We start from the raw sequence: 22,490 nt of genomic DNA, 5'->3' as shown, positions 1-22,490 counted from the left end.
GCTTTGAAAACAGAAAAATCTGAGTTTGGATCCTGGCTTTTTAAAACATCATTTATGGCTCTCTCAGTTGTCTCATCTGAAATAGGAGTTATTTATGCCTATCTTACCAGGGACATTAGGGATAGAGGTAATATTGAGAAACTCCATAGCACATAGTAGGTGACCAATAAATAAAAGAAAAAATATTTTCTTTTTTTTACCTTTTCTTCTTTTTTTTTTTTTGAGACAGAGTCTCACTCCTGTCAGCCACGTCGGAGTGCAGTGGTGCAATCATGGCTCACTGCAGCCTTGACTTCCCAGGTTCAGGTGATCCTCCCACCTCAGCCTCCCGAGTAGCTGGGACTATAGGTGTGTGCTACCTCACCCAGCTATTTTTTGTATTTTTTTTGGAGACTGGGTTTCGCCATATTGCCCAGGCTGATCTCAAACTCCTGGGCTCAAAGCAATCCGCCTTCGGAAGGATTTGATAAATTCTTCCAGGACTGGGTCCTTCCCTTTAAGGGCAGCGCATTCCCTTCTGGCCCTGGGTATGTCTAAAAATGTGATCTGGGAGCTAGGGCTTGGAATGAGGGCCTTGGGACTCTACCTTGTCCCCTATCCTACTGTGGCTGAGCTGGTATCCAAGTTGCAAGACAAAGTCCCCTTTACTCTCCTTTCTCCCCTCCTCAAGCGGAAAGGAGTTTCCCCTGGAGCTGTAAGCTGCACTGCCTGGGATTGGAGGAGGGGTGATGTAAGCACTTCCTTGGCTGGCTGGCTGGCTGGAGCTTTCGGCTCAGCCTCCCGAAGTGCTGGGATTACAGGCGTGAGCCACAGTGCCTGGCCGAGGTATTTTCAAGTACACACATAAATAGATCATACGGATAAAAGAAACAATGTAAGAGACCGTTGTAATCATGAACTCGTATACCTAACCTAGCTTCAAAATGTGTTCAAAAGGTTAACTAATTACATTTGCGTATGATCCTATACCCCACAAATACAGAACTTTTTTTTAAGTCACAAAGGAAATATAACGAACATTGCCGTAGTCTCAACATCTATTCATGCTATTATTTTATCTTTTAAATTTTGCCATGTCAGTAGTTATCTCCCCTTTTAAATTTCAGATATTCATTTGTTCCTTCTCCCTTTTTTCTTGATTAATCTTGCCAATGGTTTATTATTATTATTCTTTTAGCAAACCAACTTTTGGCTTTGTTAATCCTCTCTATTGAATATTTTTGGTTTTATAAATTTTAGTTCCTATATTTATTATTTTCTTCTCTTTACTTTGATGTTTTTCTTTCTGGTTTGTTGTTGTTGTTGTTGTCTTGCTTTGTTGCCAAGGTTGGTCTTGAACTCCTGGCCTCAAGTGATCTCCTGCCTCAGCCTGCTCAAGTGCTGGGATTACAGATGTGAGCCACCATGCCCAGCCATCTTTCTTTCTTTCTTTCTTTAAGGCTATATTCCCTCAAAATTTTAATTTTCCTATATCTTACAAGTTTTCTTTTAAAACAGCTTTATCAAGATATACTTTATGTATTATGAAACTCACTCATTTCAAGTGTATAAGTCAGTGATTTTTAATTTATTACTGAGTGGCACTACCATTTCCATTAATCAATTTTAGAACATTTTCATCCCCTCAGTAAGCTCTCTTATGCCCATTTGCAATAATCCCTGTTCCCACCCCTAGCTAACCACTACTGTACTTTTTGTCTGTATGAATTTGTATTTTCTGGACATTTGTAAGTAGAATCATCTAATATGTGGTCTTGTCATGTCTAGCTTCTTTCACTTCATTTAATGCTTTTGAGGTTCATCCATGATGGGGCTTGTATCAGGATTTCCTTCCTTTTTATTAATGAATCCATTGTATGAAGGTCCATACATTTTGATATATAGTATTTTCATTATCATTCAATTTCAGTTATTTAAAAATTTTCATTCCATCTTCCATGACTCATGACCATGAGTGATTTGGAAGTGTGTTTCTGAAATTGCCAAATTATGGAAATAGAAAAATTCATCTTTTTGTTATTGATTTTAACCAAGTTGCATCACGGTCAGAGAATGTGTTCTTATGACACTAATTATTTGAATTATTGGAACTTTTTCTTTAGGGAATAACAAAGTAGCCAAGTTTTGTAAATGTTTCATGTTGCTTGAGAAGAATGTATACTCAAACTGTTGAATGCAGGAGCCGGTTATATCTGTTAAATCAAGCTTGTTATTTGTGTTGCTCTACGTCTTCTATATCTTTACTAATTTTTGTTTACGTGTTGAGAAATGTGTTTTAAAATCTTCCACTGTTAAATTGGATTTTCAACTTTGTCCTGTAGTCTTTTACTTGATGTATTTTGAGGATCTGGGGGTAGGGGGTGTTAGGAATGTTTGTTTCTTGGTGCCACAAAGAAACAGCATTTGAACATAAATTTAATTTTCTTAGTAAGACAATTTTTACTTTTTGTAGAAAGGGTGCTCATCGCAGATGGAACAATGGTGAGAGCACACCTGAACAAAGGGAGGAAGTAATTTTTATCCCTTACACAGCTTGTCCCTGCTACTGTGTCCTGTCTCCATTGGCTGGAGCCAGACCTCACAATCTAAACTGAACCCGATTGGCTAACGGTTTAAAATTTTTCTAAATAGGTAAAGGCAAGGGAGAATATAGGAAAAGAGGAAGTTGCTTATGCCAAATAGGGGAGGGGTCTTAGGCTGTGAGCTGGAATGTGCCTGTAAGCATGTCCAGCACAAATATCTTGGGTGAGGTGCAAGGATACAGAATGTACTACGTGCCTGTGAGCATGTCTAACAGTTACATTAGGGCTTAACAAAGAGTTATTAGCACAAAGCAAGGAGGCTTGAAGGAAGTTAGTCTTTAAAAGAAACTATTATTTTTAACACTTATGATTTATTTTTTTAATGAGAAGGAAAATTTGAAGAAGAAACTTTTTACTTTCTACAGGGGTATATACAAGTTTAGAATTTTTATATCTTTTTGGTGAATTAATTTTTTATTGTTATATAGTGACCCTTTCTGGCTTTAATAATACTTTTTGGGCCAGGCGTGGTGGCACATGCCTGTAATCCCGGCACTTTGGGAGGCTCAGGCAGGCGGATGGCCTGAGCCCAGGAGTTCGAGACCAGCCTGGGCAACATGGTGAAACCCCGTCTCTACAAAAAATTAGGCAGGTGTGGTGGCGTGCACCTGTAGTCCCAGCTACTCCAGAAACTGAGGAGGAACGATCAGTTGAGTGTGGGTAGGTAGAGGCTGCAGTGAGCCAAGATTGCTCCACTGCACTCCAGCATGGTCGACAGAGTGACAACCTGTCTCAATAATAATAATGATTTTTGGCTTAAAGTCTTCTTTATATTAGTAGAGCATAACTAGCTTTCTTTTATTAAATAATGTTTTCTTAGTAACCCTTTTCCATCCTTTTCCTTTCAATCTTCCCATGTTCTCTTTTTTTTTTTTTTTTTTTTTTTGAGATCGAGTCTTGCTCTGTCGCCCAGGCTGGAGTGCAGTGGTGCAAACTCAGCTCACTACGACCTCTGCCTCCTGGGTTCAAGAGATTCTCCTGCTTCGGCCTCCTGAGTAGCTGGGATTACAGGCACCCACCACCACACCCAGCTAATTTTTTAGTAGTGATGGGGTCTGGCCATGTTGGCCAGGCTGGTCTCGAACTCCTGACCTCAGGTGATCTGCCTGCTTTGGACTCCCAGAGTGCTGGGACTACAGGTGTGAGCCACCATGCCTAGCCCTCACCATGTCCTTATAACTGAGATACATCTCATAAACAAGGTTTAGTTGGATTTTTTTTTTAAAGCCCAGTATGTCAACTTCTCATTCTTTTAACTGGCGAGTTTAGCCCATTTGTTTATTGTCACTATATTTGGACCTGTATTTTCTGTTTTCCATTTGTTTTGTCCTTCCAATCCCATTATTTTGTCTCCTGTTTTGGTTCATTTTGAACTATTTGAGGTTTTTTTTCATTTGTTTTAAAAGTTTTCTTCATCCTCCCCAACCCCTGCCATTTACTGATTTGAAAGTTATACATTTTATTTCCATTTCTGATTTTTCTACTTTTCTACAAATTAGAACATCATTCTTGTTTTATTAAAAAAATTGAGATTTACCAATATTTTTCCTGTCTTACTATTTCTTTCTATATTTCAGATCTTCATTGTGAGTTCATTTTCCTTTCTCCTTGACTACCTCCTTTAGTTTAGATACTTTTTTTTTCTTTTTTTGAGACAGAGTCTTGCTCTAATTCAATTTCTGTATCTGGCCGTTTTTAGGATATGCTCTTTGTTTTTGGTATTCTGCTCTTTCAGTACAGTGTGTCTAAATGTGCAATTTTTATTTTTTAATTTTTGCTGGTATAAATTGTATTTCTTTTATTTGTGCCTTTTACTAGTTCTGGAAACTGCTCAACCATTATTTTTTTTAGTGTGATAAAATATGCATGACTCAACTATTATCTTTAAAAATAGTCTCTCTCCTCCATTTTCTCTATTTTCTGCTTCCAGAACTCTAATAAGCTTATGGTGAACCTTTTCATTAATTCCTCATATATTTTAACTTCTCTGTCATGTTTTCATCCCCCTTTCCCTCTACAGTACATTCTAGGTAAGTTCTTCAGATCTGTTTCTCACTAATTGTCTCCTCTTGCATCTAATCTACTGTTTAATGTATACATCGAGGATTCTTTCCCCAACAACTATACTTTTTATTTATAAAAGTTCTATTTGTTGTTTTATTAATTTGCCTAATTTTTATAGTCCCTTGTTCTTTCTCACTTTTTGACTCACATCCATATCCAAAAATACAAATATCTGAAGTCCTTGGGGGGTCTAAATCTATTATTTGTTGGTTTACCCCAGCATTCTTGTGGTAGCTTGTTTCTTTAGTGATTTGTGAATACCAGCCAATATTTGTTTGCTCTTAATCTGTGGGACTCCTAGAGGCCTAGATAATTTTTTGCAAAAGAAAATTCATACTGCTTCTTCCCAGAGTCAAGGAATACTCACAGCCTGGTGACCACTTTAACCCTCTTCCAGAGCCTATTTTAATGTAGAATTGTGGGCTCGGCTCAGTTTCCTTGCGTTTGCCAAGGGCCTTGTCTGGCCGTGTCAGCACAGGCATTGCCCACAGCACACCTGCCTTTCTTCTTCGCTTGCTGCTTCTCTTTCCTAGCTCTGGTTTCAGCTTACATTTTTGTTGTTGTTTACTTCTAACAAGTCCAGCAATGCATTAAACCTATATTTTATGTAGAGAAGCCAGGAGAACAGAGAAAAAAGTGTATTTTATAGATTTAGCAAGGATGGGACAAATTTTCTGAAGAATGTAAACATCCCAGACTTTGAGAAATTTTACTTTAAGAACTCTACTGAGGAAGTAATTAGAAATGCCCTCAAACATTTATGCTCTGAGGTATTCACTCAAATGGTGTTTCATATAATGGAATAAAAAACTAAGCCTTTGAGCTAGACCTTTCTCACTCATCTGCCTATCTTAATCCCAATTTCATGCATCTGTAGCATTAAAATAAAATGAAACCAAACTACATGAATCCATACCAAAAGCACTGTAAGGTAAAGCAGATCATTACTGAAAATGTCTGGGGAAGAGAGAGGACTGAGGTTACCCTTCATCTTATCCAGCAGCATTTCCTTAAAGATCCTTTAACACATCTCTCCATTCCCCAAACTCTATTTCTATAGCCTGAAACCTTCCTTGCTGTGACTCTGCCTCTGCATCACCAATACCTGTTCCCTTCCCCACAACCAGGATTATTCTTCTCACTTATTTCTCCAGCCACCTCTGAAATCTTTTCCATTTCTAGATTTTCTCCTCTATTTTTTTTCCTATATTCAACTAAAATCTTTACTGATAAAGTCCATTTGAAAATTTTTAAATCTTCTGTACATTTCTAACATTTTTATATTATGTATCTGAACTTAAAATCTAATTCATCCTTTAGCTTCCTTATCTTAAGGTTAAATCAGCCTGATTTACTTAAATCTTCCTTTTTAAATGTGTTTTCCTTTTAATTACTTTGGTTGTTTTTACCTTTTTTTACTTTTCCCATATTCTTTTATAGTATCCCAAACTGAGCATAGAATTTTAATAATAGTGTAATAGAGCTATTACTTTGTCCTTAGATGTATTACATCCTTTAAGCTCTCTATACAGCAACACTTTCCACCCTTGTATGTAGGAGAAATTTACATTTCATTTTTTAAAATGGCCCTCATAATAGTTGAAGATGTTAGAAAGTATAAAAATCATATACTTTTTTTGTCTCTATGTGTGTCTATACTGAGTAAACCAATGACATAGAGATGGAATCCAATGTATACAGACTGGAGTATTAGAAAACTGACTCTCAAAAACTGGCTCCCATTGTTGCAATAGGGCACAATTATTTTTGTCTTGATATATAGGCTCAAAACTTGGAAGTAATTTTTTAGTAGAGTTTTGCCTGTGGAGGTTTTGGTTTGTATATTTGACTTTTTAAATGTTTAAAACATTTAAAAACACACAAGACAGCGCTGTTTTGATCACAAAAGAGTATGCTATCTTTTGCCATATGTATGATCTTTCTTTTCCTGTGAGATCATTACTAGTCAAGCTCTAGTTTAAGTGAAAAATGTGGAGATGCTGCTTATTGCTATGGGCAGTTTTTAAAAGAATAAAGCAGCAGGCCAGGCGCGGTGGCTCACACTTGTAATCCCAGCACTTTGGGAGGCCAAGGCGGGCAGATCACCAAGTCAGGAGATGGAGACCATCCTGGCCAACATGGTGAAATCCCATCTCTACTAAAAATACAAAAAAAAACTTAGCTGACTGTGGCAGTGCGTACCTGTAATCCCTGCTACTCTGGAGGCTGAGGCAGGAGAATCGCTTAAACCTGGGAGGCGGAGAATGCAGTGAGCCGAGATCGTGCCACTGCACTCCAGCCTGGCAACAGAGTGACACTCCATCTAAAAAAAAAAAAAAAAAAAGTATAAAGCAGCCTTTGAATTAAAAGTAGACCATATCCTTAATAGCCCCATGTAGAACAATGAACCTGGACCCCTATCTCTCACCATATACAAAATCAACTCAAAATGGATCAAGGACTTAAATATGAGAGGCAAAGCTATTAAAATATGAGGGAAAAGCCTAAGGAAAATGCTCCTGGATGTTTTTCTAGGCAAAAAATTTACAACTAAGACCTCAAAAGCACAGAGAACAAAACCAAAAATAGATAAAAGGGACTTAATTAAACTAAAAAGCTTCTGCACAGCAAAATAAATTATCAACAGTGTAGCTACAATCTCTTCAATGGGATAAAATATTTGCAAACTGTTCTTCCAGCACGGGACTAATATCCAGAATATACGAGGAACTCAAATAATTCAACAAGAAAAATAAACATTAAAAAGTGGGCAAAGGACATGAATAGTAGACATTTCTCAAAAGAAGACATACCAATGGTCAATAGGTATATGAAACAGTGCTAAACATCACTAATCATCAGGGAAATGCAAATCAAATCCACAGTGAGATATCAGCTTACCCTAGTCAGAAAGGCTATTATTAAAAAGACAAACAATAACAGATGCTGGTGAGGATGCAGAGAAAAGAGGACTGTTATACACTGTTGGTGGGAATGTAAACTAGTATAGCCACTATGAAAAACAGTATAGAGATTGCTCATAAAATTAAAAATATAATTATTTGATCCAGTAATCCACTAGTGGTTATCTATCCAAAGAAAAATAAATTAATATATCAAAATGATACCTGCACTTGCACGATTATTGCATTAGTATTCATAATAGCAAGGATATAGAATCAACCCTAAGTGTCCATCAATGGATGAATGGATAAAGAAAAAGTAGTATATATACACAATGGAATACCATTCAGCCATAAAAAGAATGAAATCCTATTATTTGCAGCAACATGGATAGAACTGGAGGTCATTATCTTAAGTGAAATAAGCCAGGCACAAAAAGACAAATATCATACATTCTCACTTATATGTGGGAGCTAAAAATTTTGATCACATTCAGGTAGAGAGTAGAAAAATAGATAAAAGACTGGAAAGGGTGAGTGGTGGCGGCAGTGAGGAGGATTAAGAGGTAAGTTACAGGATACAAACAAACAGTGAAATAGAAGGAATGTATCAAGTTTGATAGCAGAGTACGGTTATTATACTTAACAAAAATATATTGTACTCAGATGACAAACACACTAAATACCCTGACTTGACCACTACTCATTATATACACATAGCGAAATTTCACATGTGCCCCACAAATATGTACAAATTATTAACAGTAAACCATATCCTTGTCCAGGTATGGTGGCTCACACCTGTTATCCTGGCACTTTGGGAGGCCAAGGTGGGAGGATTGCTTGAGCCCAGAAGTTCAAAACTTGCCTGGGTAACATAGTGAGACCCTGTTTCTACAAAAAATTTAAAAAAATTATTCAGGTATGGTGACACACACCTATAGTCCCAGCTACTTGGGATGAGTCCCAGCTACTGAGGTGGGAAGATCTCTTGAGCCTGGGAGTTGGAGGCTGTAGTGAGCTCTGATCACACCATTGCACTCCATCCTGGGTAACAGAGCATGACCCTTTCTCAAAAAAAAAGTAAAGCATATCCTTAATCACAATAGCCAAGATATGGAATCATTGTAAGTGTTCATCAACAGATGAACAGATAAATAAAATTATGGTATGTGTACACAATGGAATACTATTCAGCCTTCAAAAAGAAGGAAATCCTGTCATTTGTGACTAAATGAATGAACCCAGAGGACATTATGCAAAGTGAAATAAGCCACAGAAAGACAAATACCACATGATCTCACTTACATGTGGAATCTAAAAAGTTGAACTCATAGAAGTAGAGAGTAGAGTGGTAGGTAGTTGTGGGGAGGGAACTGGGGGGATGGCCAAAGGATACAAAATTTCAACTAGACCGGGAGGAGTAAGTTCAAAAGATCTATTGTAAAACGTGGTGACTGTATTTAATAACAATATATTCTTGAAAATTGTTAAGAGAGGCTGGGCATGGTGGATCATACCTGTAATCCCAGCAGTTTGGGAGGCCGAGGCAGGAGGATCACTTGAGGTCAGGAGTTCAAGATCAGCCTGGCCAACATGGCAAAACCCCATCTCTACTGAAAATATAAAAATTAGCCAGGTGTGGTGGCGCATGCCTGTAATCCCAGCTACTTGGGAGGCTGAGGCAGGAGAATCACTTGAACCCCAGAAGTGGAGATTCCAGTGAGCTGAGATTGTGCCACTGCACTCCAGCCTGGGCGACAGAGCAAGACTCTGTCTCAAAAACAACAACGACAACCAATTGTTAAGAGAGCAGTGTTCAATACAAATGTTAATTAGCTAAATTTAGCTATTTCGCAATGTATTACATATATCAAAACAACATGTTGTATGTGACAGATTATATACTTTTGTCAATTAAACAATAATAAAATTGTAGGCCATATTCATTCATTCCATGTAAAATGAACATCCACTGTGTCAGAGTGTCAAGGCATGGAGATCAGGCAGAACAAGTATAAAATGACCTAGAATGAGAACAGCTCCACCAAGGAAGGAACAGGCTTTGGAATGTGAAAACTTTTACATTTCAAGGGGACAGAGACTTAATAGAGTACCTGAATACCTCTGGTATTATGTTTCATTTATATACATATACACACACACACACACACACACACACACACAAATGTGATTTTTATATATAAGATTATTTAAATTTTTATGTTTCCCTTTTGTATGTTTTCGATTCTGATTTGGTCAATTGAACACTTGACCTAATGATAGACTATTACAGTAAATAAGCTTGCTGAATTTCTTCTTGTTCAACTTCTCTTTTATGTGCTTTTGATTTAGCAAACAAAGATCACAATGAAAAACATTCTCAAATGAGAGAATTTGGAGCACCTCAGTTTTCTAACTCTGAAAATGGTAAGAATCATTTCACTCTACATATGAATGATTCTTTAAAATTCTTCAATTTTTATTTAACATTTATTTCCTTAACATTAGAAACTGTCTGGGTCTCTACATAAGAATGCAACTATGTGCCTCTACTTTGTAGCACATCACAATGGAAATTAAATAATTATTTGTTTTATATGTTTGGGTCCTATCAGAACGTATCCGTATAACCAGGACAGCTAGGGCTGTGTCTGCCTTTCTGTCTCATGTATCTCAACCACCAGCAGTACAAGCCTCAGGAAATATTTGTTGAATGAATGAATACAATTGTTTGTATATCTAGTGTCATTAGATACTAGCAAAATAGTAAATGTCATTCAACATTAAATAAATTAAAATCACTATTTAAGAAACAAAAGTATGCCCCCAACGTTCTGGTTTCCTTATCTGTAAAATGAGGATCAAGACTAAATCAACTTTAAGGTACTTCCTAAGCATTAAATAACTACCTTGAATATCTTTCTCAAGCAATTAGGTTGTAAACATTTTCTCCTAGTTTGTCATTTGTCTTGTGACTTTGTTTCTTTAAATTTCTTTAAGTTAAAAAAATTTTTTTAAAGCTTTTAAATACAGTCCAATTGGTTAATCTTTTCTTTTATTGGATCTGGACTTTAGTCATAGTCAGGAAGCTTTTCCTAAACCCAGATTATAGAAGAATTCTCTTATGCTTTCTTCTGGTATTTATGTAGTATTATTTTTTACATTTAGGTCTTGAATTCATTTGAAGTTAATTTATGTGTAGAGTGTTAGCAATGGATCAAACGTTACCTTTTTTTTTTCCCCCAAAGGCTATCCTTTATATACTTTTTTTTTTTTTTAACAGTCTCGCTCTGTCATCCAGGCTGAAGAGCAGTGGCACGATTTTGGCTCACTGCAACTTTTGCCTCCTGGGTTCAAGCAATTCTTGTGCCTAAGCCTCCCAAATAGCCGGGATTACAGGCGTGCGCCACCATGCCCAGCTAATTTTTTGTATTTTTAGTAGAGATGGGGTTTCATCATGTGGCCAGGCTGGCCTCGAATTCCTGGCCTCAAGTGATCTGCCCACCTCAGCCTCCCAAAGTGCCAGGATTACAGACGTGAGCCACCGCGCCCAGCCCTTTATATAATTTTTTAAAATGCCATCTTTGTCCTAGTATTGAGATAACATCTTGTCATATACTATATTTCTTTTTCTACTTGGGTGTATTTCTAGACTTTGTTTATATTTCAAATGGTGTGTGCATGCACCAGTGCCACATAGTTGTTTTTTTTCTTTTTTTTTGAGATGGAGTTTCGCCCTCATTGCCCAGGCTGGAGTGCAATGGTGCAATCTTGGCTCACTGCAACCTCTGCCTCCCAGGTTCAAGCGATTCTCCTGCCTCAGCCTCCCAAGTAGCTGGGATTACAGGCATCCGCCACCATGCCTGGCTAATTTTGTATTTTTAGTAGAAGCAAAGTTTCTCGATGTTGTTCAGGCTGGTCTTGAATTCCTGACCTCAGGTGATCTGCCTGCCTCTGGATTATAGGCGTGTGCCACCACTCCCTGCCCACATAGTTTTAATTATAGAAACTTTCTTGTAGTTTTAGGGCCGGGCGCGGTGGCTCACGCCTGTAATCCCAGCACTTTGGGAGGCCAAGGTGGGCAGATCACCTGAGGTCGGGAGTTCGAGATCAGCCTGGCTAACATGGTGAAACCCTGTCTCTACTAAATATACAAAATTAACTGGGCATGGTGGCGCATGCCTGTAGTCCCAGCTACTCGGGAGGCTGAGGCAGGAGAATCAAAAAAAAAAAAAAAAAAAAAGAAAAGGAAACTTTCTTGTAGTTTTAGTATCTGGTAAGGCTAGAATCCCCCCTCCTTTTTTTTTTATTATTTTCTTAGCTATTTTTGCATGTTTACTTTTTCAATTTGAATATAAAATTGTGGGGCTTTATTAAAAAGCTCGATACTTTATTGTAATCACATTAAATGTGAAAACTGACAGGTTGATCATGTTGAGACATCCTCATGAAAAACAAGGGCCATCCTTCCATTTGTTAAAGTTTACTTGTATATCTTTCAGACTTTTTTTTTCATACAGGTTTTGAACACTTCCCGTTGTTTATTTCTATGTATTTTATCTTTCTGGTTGCTATTGTAAATGAGGTTTTCTTTTCCATTATATATTTTCATTGGTCATTTTGTATATATGAATGCTATTCACTTTCGCATGTTAGTTTTATATCCTGGTATATAGCTGAATTCTTTTATTATTTGAGTTATGTCATCTGAAAATAGAGATAATCTTGTTTTTTTCTTCTTACCAACTCATAGATTTCTCTTGTTTAATTACATTGGCTACTACCTTCAGAACAATGTTAACTAGTAGTGAACGTTTCCTGACTTCAGTGGAAATGCCTATAATATTTCTGAACTAAGATGCTGGCTTTGGACACAGATAATTTCATGATGTTAAGGAAGCATCCATCCATACTTACTTTCTTAAGAATTTTTATTAGGAATGGTTGTTGATTTTTTTTTTTTTTTTTTTTGAGATGGAGTCTCACTGTGTCGCGCAGGCAGGAGTGCAGTGGTGAGATCTTGGCTCACTGCAACCTCTGCCTCCTGGGTTCAAGCGATTCTCCTGCTTCAGCCTCCCAAGTAGCTGGGATTACAGGTGCATACCACCACACCTGGCTAATAGTTGTTGAATTTTGTTGGCAGCTTTTTCAGTATCTATGTCAGCAATTATTTGCTTTTTCTTCTTAAATATATTAATATGATGAACTATAATAATAGGTTTCCTGATACTATATCATGTTTGCATTCCAGTTGTAAGTCCAGCTTTGTCATTTTATACTACTCTGCTTGCTAATATTTTACTACTCTTTTTGCATTCTTTTTTTTTTTTTTGAGCTGGAGTTTAACTCGTTGCCCCGGCTGGAGCACAATGGCACATTCTTGGCTCACTGCAACTTCTGCCTCCCAGGTTCAAGCAATTCTCCTGCCTCAGCCTCCCAAGTAGCTGGGATTACAGGTGCACGCCACCATGCCTGGCTAATTTTGTATTTTTAGTAGAGATGGGGTTTCACCATGTTGGTCAGGCTGGTCTCAAACTCCTGACCTCAGGTGCTCCACCAGCCTCGGCCTCCCAAAGTGCTGGGATTACAGGCATGAGCCACCACACCTGGCTCTTTTTGCATTCTTCCTTTTTTTTTTTAGATGGAGTCTCTCTCTGTTACCCAGGCTGGAGTGCAGTGGTGTGATCTCTGCTCACTGGAACCTCCACCTCCCAGGTTCAAGCAGTTCTCCCTGGCTCAGCCTCCTGAGTAGCTGGGATTACATGCACCTGCCACCACACCTGGCTAATTTTTTTTTTTTTTTTTTTTTTTTTTTTTTTTTTAGTAGAGACGGGATATTGCCATGTTGGCCATGCTGGTCTTGAACTCCTGACCTCAGATGATCCGCCCGCCTCAGCTTCCCAAAGTGCTGGGATTTGCTAAGTGTGAGCCACTGTGCCCGGCCTCTTATTCATTTCTTAACCTATGAAAACATCTAGGTCTAATGCTTTCTTGTACATGTGTGTTTTTTGTCTCTCTCTATAGAAATCAGTCTGTTTAAGCTTTTAATCTGTACTGGGATTGATTTTAGTAAATTACATTTTTCTAAGAAGTTATTCATTTTGTGTAGACTTTTAAATTTATTTGCAATAGAGTTGTACAAAATTTCTTTTTATTTTTAACAGCTCTATTTAGGTATAATTTAAATACCATAAATTTCACCCATTCTAACAGTTCCTAATTTTTAGAAAATTTAGATTATGCAACCATTACCACAGTTGGATATTAGAATGTTTCCATTACCCCCCAAATTCTCTCATGCTTGTTTTAAATTAATCTCTGATTCACTCCAAGCCGTAGGTAATTAGTAATCTGTTTTTGTCTCTATAAATTTGCCTTTTCTGGACATTCCATATAAATGAAGCCATACAAAAGGTAGTCCTTTATTTCTGGCATCTTCCACTTAATGGTTTTTGGAGTCATCCATGTTGTTGTATATATCAGTAGTTTATTATTATTTTTTTTTAATTTTTTGAGGCCGAGTCTCACTCTGTCGCCCAGGCTGGAGTGCAGTGGCGCGATCTTGGCCCACTGCAACCTGCCTTCTGGGTTCAAGTGATTCTCCTGCCTCAGCCTCCCCAGTAGCTGGGACTACAGGCGTGTGTCACCATGCCCGGCTAATTTGTTCTATATTTTTAGTAGAGATGGGGTTTCACTGTGTTAGCCAGGATGGTCTCGATCTCCTGACCTTGTGATCTGCCCGCCTCAGCCTCACAAAGTGCTGGAATTACAGGTGTGAGCCACTGCACCCGGCCAGTTTATTACTTTTTATTAAGCAATAGTATTCCATTGTATGGATATACCATCTTATGTTTACTTATTTACCAGTTGATGGACATTTGGGTTGTTTATAATTTTTGGCTATTATACTACTACTACTACTGAACATTCATGTACTTCTCTTTGTGCAGGCATACATTGTCATTTTCCTTGGTTAGATTCCCAGGAGTGAAATTGCTAGGTTGTATGGTGAATTTAACTTCTTAAGGAACTGCCAAACTTTTTTCAAAATAATTGCACCATTTTATTTCCACCAGCAAAGTGTGAGGGTTCTAGTTTCTCCACATCTTTGCCAACATTTGGTATTGTCTATATTTTATTTTATTTTTTGAGATGGAGTCTCGCTCTGTCACCCAGGCTAGAGTGCAGTGGCAGGATCTCAGCTCACTGCCATCTCCACTTCCTGGGTTCAAGTGGTTCTCCTGCCTCAGCCTCCTGAGTAGCTGGGATTAGAGGCATGTGCCACTACACCCAGCTAATTTTTGTATTTTTAGTAGAGATGGAGTTTCACTATGTTGGCCAGGCTGGTCTCAAACTCCTGGCCTCAAGTGATCCACCTGCCTCAGCCTTCCAAAGTGCTGGGATTACAGACATGAGCCACCGTGCCTGGTATATTTTAAGTAACAGTTATTCTAGTGCTTTTGTTTTTTTGAGACAAGAGTTTTGCTCTTGTTGCCCAGGCTTGAGTGCAATGGCACAATCTCAGCTCACTGCAACCTCCACCTCCCAAGTTCAAGTGATTCTCCAACCTTGCCTCCTGAGTAGCTGGGATTACAGGCATGCGCCACCACGCCTGGCTAATTTTGTATTTTTAGTAGAGACAGGGTCTTGCCATGTTGGCCAGGCTGGTCTCAAACTCCTGACCTAAGGAGATCCACCTGCCTCAGCCTCCCAAAGTGTTGGGATTACAGGTGTGAGCCACAGTGCCTGGCTATTCTAGTGCTTTTAATTTGTAGCTTTGATTTGCATTTCTCCAGTGACTGATGGTGTTGAGACTCTTTTCATGTGCTATTGTCCATTCGTGTATCTTCCTTACTGACAAATCTATTCAACTCTATTGACCATTATTTAATTGGGTTGCTTATCTTATTAAGTTGTAAGAGTTTATATATTTTTTATAAAGCCCTTTATCAGATATATGACTTGTAAATATTTTGTCCCAGTCTTTTTATTTTCTCGATTTTGCCTTTGGAAGCACAAAATTCTTTGTAAGTCCAAGTTATCATTTTTGCTTCTTCCAGCTGATTGCTCTATTGATTTCAACAGTCCCTGGAGCATAAATTGTTCCACACAATAAACCAATCAAATCTGGACTCATTTAAAGAAACAGTTCTTAAGGCCACTGAAATTTGTGGTGACCCCAGCTGGCTTTTTCCCTGGTTCCTTCAGGCAAAGCAGCTGGCCTACAGTTTAGCCTCCATGTTGAGACTCATACACTATAAGACTTCTCCAGTTGCCTTTTACTAAAACCTCCACTGTTTTGAGAGCATCCTTAGGGTTGAATTTCTCTACACTCTGTTACAAATGAAGTCAGTGACTTTGGAAAGGGATTAGGAACCATCAGTTTTATGGTCGGCTTCTCCCTCACTCCCTGCAAGGAAAATCTCTGAGTCAGAGCTTGAGCTGGGAGTGGGGACAATGGCATACTTCTTTCTGAGTGTCATCCTTGCTCTAGGAGCTGAGGAGAGTGACGGTAGCCTTAGGTCTTCTTGGCTTGCCTCTTTCTTCATGAAACCACCACTTTACTAGCAGGGTCAAGTGATCAGGGGCCCTATATTCTTAGCACACTACACCAAACTCAGACTTCCCAACCCATGAGGGATCTGGGGAGGAGATGGGAGCCTCTATTATCTATTGACTGCACTCACCTAGGACTTAGCCTCAGCAACAGGTAACTGGGGACGGGATGTGAAATGCTGGCATCTTACTCCTCCTGGGAAGCTAGCCCTTGACTGACAGCTGGAGAGAGAAGGAGCCCTGTGTTCTGGCTGCACCAGACTGGAGTGGAATCTCCATCTTGCTAAGTTGGAAAGCGGGAAGATGGGACTGGTTCTCAGTTCAAATACTAAAAACTCTTGCTGTTTTTCCTAAATTATAGTAGATTTTCTTAAGTAAATATTTCTTCATTTGCTGCATATCCTTGGGACCATTTCCAGAGATTTTAAATGCTTATTTATTTTGAAAAATAACTTTCACCAATTATGCTGGGGTGCAGGTCCGTGATGCCTCTCCCTTTCATTTTTATTGATAAAAATGTTTAAGGGATGGGATTTTTCCTTTGTTCATGCCATTTAAGTATTCTATTGTCAAAAGGTAAAATTACAACAAATTTAAAGACCTCAATTGGCTTTTATTTGCAATTCTAGAATCAGGCAACACCCCATTCTGTAACATGGAATGAGTGTTCTGAGGAGGTTGGTTTTATAGACAGAAAAGGACCAGGGAAAGCAGAAACAGAAAACAAAAAGTGGATTGATCATTGCAGTTACTTTTCTTGTAAGGGTTAAAGCAGAGGGGACTTCCTTATCATGCCAGCTAGGACTGGCCTGCTTGGGGACTTGGCTATGATGTCTCTCTCCTGATTTCTTGAAAGGCCAGATAACTTAGTTTGGTTTGGTGATATGGAACTTTAGCATGAGTGACTCCATTTTGGTTTGGTCTGTTGGGTCTAGTACAAGAGCTCAGTCCAAACCAATGGTCTTCTATACATTTTACTTAACACCATGGATTATGATATAAAATATTTTCTTCATCATTATTTTTCCGAAAGTCCATTCCCTTTTCAACGTTGTTTGGTAGAAGGTTTTAAGATTTACAGGTGTAACAACCTTTTTGTTTTTATAGTTTCATTTTAGAATTGTCTTTTTATTGCATTATGATCAGAGCATGTTGTTTGTAATGTTCCTACTTTAAGAACACAATTTTTGTGTGTGTGTGCCTTAGTATAATCAACTTTTGTACATTTTCAATGTGTGGTTAAGAAGAATGTTTCTATTACCAGGGTTTGTGTTATCCAAAATAACTACATTATTGATTATGCTCTTTTGATCTTTTTTATCTGTTGTCCTCTTGGCCTGTTTTTTAGTCAGAGTGGTATATTAAAGTCTCGTATTATTAATTTGTTTCTATGTCTTTTGCATCTCCTTTGGTTTCTGACTTAGGTGGTAGCTTAATTATTTCATATATAGCATTCATAATGGTTATATCTTCATTGTTAAATGTGGCCATTTTGACCTAAATCCTGCCTAATTAGAAGTAACTTTCACATAAACTTCCAGTCACTTTAGTTGTTTGTTTAAAATTATGTTAATACAGTATGAAAACAATGAAACAAATTTGATTCATCCTATGGTCTTACTCTCATTTCCTAAAATCAAAAAAGCCTTTCTGTTTTTATTTACACTCAATAGTTGCAAAAGATCTACCTGTAGATTCATTGGAAGGAGAAGATTTTGAGAAGGAATTCTCATTTCTGAACAACCTCCTAAGTTCTGGTTCTTCAAGTACTAGTGAATTTACCCAAGAATGCCAGACTGCCTTTGGGAGCCCCAGTGCCAGTCTCACATCCCAGGAGCCTTCCATGGGGTCTGAGCCCCTCGCTCATTCTTCTCGATTCCTTCCTTCACAACTCTTTGACCTTGGCTTTCATGTGGCTGGAGCGTTCAACAGTAAGTGTCTATGAAACATTTGGACATATGTGCTTTACTTTATCTTTGTGAAGCAAAATGGTGTGCTTATTGATGCTAGAACCAACAAGCAGATTGATTTTAATGTCAGCACTACTAGATAAAATCTGCAGTCCACCAATCAACTGGAAAAATATTAGTCACCTCAGGAATCTGTCAACAAGACTGAAACAAGGGCTGTTTCCCTGCCCACCTTCACCAGACCCCATGTTTTCTTCACTGATTTTCCCAGGCATCTGGTTTAAAACACTTGACCTGCTAATTACTCCTACCTAGGGCAGTCAATACTGTTTCTTCCATCAAGCAAAACTTGCTGTGTTCAGAGTTGACAAGAGGAAAAAGAACAGCTCTGGAGGCTGGTTCCCTTTCTGGGCAAGGCAGCAGGAGAAGAGAGTCCACCATCCTGTGTCCAACCCTGCACCTTGGGGGTCACTTTGCTTCTCACATCCATATTGGTTACCAAATCCTGTCAGTTCTGTTTCTGAAACCTGTCTCAAATTTCCCACTCCTCTCTGCCTCAACACCAGAGCCATTTAGAGCCTCATTTGGTTTCCTAGGTTACTGCAAGAGTTCCTCACAGGTCTCCAACCCCCAATTCATTCTCTACACTTCTGTGGAATTCTCTCTTCAAGCAGCAGATTCTGATGTCAGCACCTGGCTTACATTTTATAAAATGAAACACCATGGTTTCCAGGGATAAAACCTGCCTATGTCGCATTTCCACCCATATCTCCTATCTCCTACTGAAGTGAAGGAAGAATACTTGCGGTTTTCTATAATCACACTGAGTGCTCCACAGCCCTCTGATGCATCTATCTGTGCTTGTGTTGCTTCTTCTGCTTCTGATGTTCAGTAATGGAGCTTGGACGTGGGCCTGAGTATTAGATCCCAATCCAGTGTTTTCTCCATGATTGTCAGTCCTTGAAGTCCTCCTCAGTACTGCCAAATGGAAATGGTTTCTCCCTCCTCCCGTGGTGCTTTGCTTTATCTATTTTCATGGTTCTAATCCTACTTTATCTTGCTTTATATTCCAGTCTCTCACATCCTAGATTTTAACCCCTGGACGGGGGGACCCCTCACGGCACTTCACAGTGTCTTAATGCATTGTACTTTGTATTAAATACTGAGGTACATGCTCTATCTACAAGCATCCCAAGGGCATGATATGTGGAGTGAGTCATCTTTGTACTTTCTATGACAGCAGCATGTTGTTAGCTCAATTAATAAACTAAATGTTAAATAATCACTCAGTAAGAATTGATTGAATAGAATAAAAGAAAGAATAGACAATATTATTTGATAAAGAGGCACTCTATCTGGGATAATTCAGATGTTTTTGCTACAGTAACATCTTTAAAAATATTTATTCTTGTGTGGCATACCAATGGCTCAGTAGCTATAAAGATTTACAAACTGATTTCATTCTCCACTATCAACTCCTCCCTCTTCCTCCATAACTTGCCACGTTTCTAGCAGCACTGAACTTTTAGTTTCTGGCAATGCAATTATCAACAATATTTTTTCACTACTCAAAATATGTGCTCTGATCCCTACCTGTAGGCAGACAGGATATTCCCATTTAATAGCTGAACAGTTGAAAACCACAGTATTTGAGTAACTTGCTCAAGGTCATCAGACAGTTTAAATAGCTAAGACGGGACCAAAATCTGCCCCTGCCTCTTTGTGCAGAACTCGACTTTACCAGTCTTTCCTTTATATTTACTTTTCTCTCTCCTGTGGTACAGACCAGGAAAGGGAGCTTCCCTGGGAATTAAAAGATCTGTGTTTGAGGAACCCTGTCTACATTGGGCCTCAGATCTTTTCTATACAAGGAAGGGATTAGGCAGGATAATCTAAATTCCTTTCTAGTGCTGTGCCTTAATCATAGCATAAATGGTTTTTCATGTTGTAGCAAACATTTCTCCACATTCCCATAGAGTATTCATAATGACATTTTAATTACAAAGTACTGTCATTTTATACAACATAATCTACCTGATTCCTTCCTTATTGTTTCTACTTGTTCATTATTACAGATAATGCTGCAAAAAAAAAAAAATCATGCATGTACTTCTTCCTTCAGCTAAATTATTTCCTTAAGAAAAATTGCTAGGAATGGGATCACTGAGTCCAAGGGTATGAGCATATTTATAGGTTTCAGCATTCCAATTATCAGGCCTGTTCCTTCCCTTCTTGACTCTTTAGAACTTCTTCCTATACCTTTTGCATTTCAATTATTATTATTATTTTTTTTTTGAGACGGAGTCTCGCTCTGTCGCCCAGGCCGGACTGCGGACTGCAGTGGCGCAATCTCGGCTCACTGCAAGCTCCGCTTCCCGGGTTCACGCCATTCTCCTGCCTCAGCCTCCCGAGTAGCTGGGACTACAGGCGCCCGCCACCGCGCCCGGCTAATTTTTTGTATTTTTTTTAGTAGAGACGGGGTTTCACCTTGTTAGCCAGGATGGTCTCGATCTCCTGACCTCATGATCCACCCGCCTCGGCCTCCCAAAGTGCTGGGATTACAGGCGTGAGCCACCGCGCCCGGCCTCAATTATTTTTTAAACATCCCACATATTTATTTCAAAACCACTTTGAAAAATGTAAGGAAGTCGGATCCAACTCTATCTGAAACTAAGATGATTAAAATATATGACTATAGATAAATTTTCAGTATTTTATACCTCTTATAGAATCTTACCCAGATACAAAGACTGGAGGACTTAGATATTTTTACCTTTTCTTGTTTTTCTGATGCTGCTTCCTATTTGATTAACAATGGACAATTTTTACTTCTTTTATCCCAGACTGGGTCTCCCAAGAGGAATCAGAACTTTGTCTTTCACACACTGATAACCAGCCAGTGCCTTCACAGAGTCCAAAGAAATTAACAAGATGTAAGTTATTTATTTATATATTCTTTATCATTGCTTTAAGAATCAGTTGAATTCAGATAAATTTAGAAAAGGATCACTTTATATTGTTTTCACCTCATTGTCCTGAAAAAGTTTAATAATGATTATTATTAAAATGAAAGCTATACTGCTTATCCCTCAATATGGAAAGCATTGAATAGAAATTGAGCTTGGGGCCAAGCATGGTGGCTCATGCCTGTAATCCTGGACTTTGGGAGGGCTAGGCAGGCGGACTGCCCAAGGTTAGGAGTTGGAGACCAGCCTGGGCAACATGGTGAAACCCCAACTCTACTAAAATACAACAACAAAAAAATTAGCCAAGCATGGTGGCGGGCACCTGTAGTCCCAGCTAATCGGGAGGCTGAGGCAGAATTGCTCTAACCCGGGAGGCAGAGGTTGCAGTGAGCCAAGATTGTGCCACTGCACTCACTCCAGCCTGGGCGACAGAGCAAGACTGTCTCCAAAAGAAAAGAAAGAAAGAAACTGTGAGCTTGACAAAGTGTACTACATTTTGTACTGTAATCTTTTATAGTTTGTGTTAAGGTTTGTTGGTAATGGATGTAAAATTAGGGATACAAGATGCTTTCTGATTACAGGATGCCTATTGACAAAGAATGCATTCAAGCACTTAAGTTGGTTACCATATTAACCTTTTTCTTTTCTTTTTTTTTTTTTTTTTAATTGAGACAGAGTCTCGCTGTCACCCAGGCTGGAGTGCAATGGTACAATCTCGGCTCACTGCAACCTCCGCCTCCTGGGTCCAAGCGATTCTCCTGCCTCAGCCTCCCAGATAGCTGGTACTATAGGCACATGCCACAATGCCCAGTTAATTTTTTGTATTTTTAGTAGAGACAGGGTTTCACTATGCTACCCAGGATGGTCTCGATCTCCTGACCTCATGATCCGCCCGCCTCAGGCTCCCAAACTGCTAGGATTACAGGCATGAGCCACCATGCCCAGCCCATATTAACCATTTTTAAGAGTACAGTTTGGTAATATTAAGCATGTTCATACTGCTGTGAAACAGATCTTCAGAACTTTTTTATCTTGTAAATCTGAAACTTTATGCCCGTTCAACAACCCCTTCTCCTAAGTCCCCGGTAACCACCATTCTGCTTTCTCTGAGTCTGATTACTTTAGATACCTCATACAACTGAAATAATGCAGTATTTGGCTTTTTTGTGACTGGCTTATTTCATTTTGCATAATGTCCTCAAGGTTCATCCTGTAGCAAGTGACTGGATTTCCTTCCTTTATAAGGCTGAATAATACTCTGTTTGACAGATACAACACAACTGGTTATCTGTTGATCCATGGATCACATTTTTTAAACAGCTTACTGAGATATAATTCATTCCCTTCACTGGTCAATACTCTGCTGTAAACAAGAGACCTCTCTTATCCTCAACTCATTTATTTATTATCAATATAGATTCATATGTTTTCTTTTGTTGTTGTTTTTTTGGAGACAGAGTCGCCCAGGCTGGAGTGCAATGGTGCCATGTTGGCTCACTGCAACCT

General features: G+C 38.7%; 1 protein-coding gene across 3 annotated transcripts in view; it reads left to right on the top strand.

Moving 5' to 3' along the window:
• ICA1L (islet cell autoantigen 1 like) overlaps positions 1-22,490 on the top strand; it is a 98,591-nt gene that overhangs the window by 64,898 nt on the left and 11,203 nt on the right. For all 3 annotated transcript variants that reach the window (NM_001288622.3, NM_138468.7, NM_001288623.2), the window contains 3 exons: positions 9,905-9,979; positions 17,782-18,039; positions 20,862-20,951. In NM_001288622.3, coding sequence (NP_001275551.1) covers positions 9,905-9,979; positions 17,782-18,039; positions 20,862-20,951 — 423 coding nt within the window. The remainder of the gene's footprint in view (positions 1-9,904; positions 9,980-17,781; positions 18,040-20,861; positions 20,952-22,490) is intronic.

This window comes from Homo sapiens, chromosome 2, assembly GCF_000001405.40.
Source record: "Homo sapiens chromosome 2, GRCh38.p14 Primary Assembly".
NCBI classification, from domain to species: Eukaryota; Metazoa; Chordata; class Mammalia; order Primates; family Hominidae; genus Homo; species Homo sapiens.
This window is presented reverse-complemented; position numbering and strand designations above follow the sequence as displayed.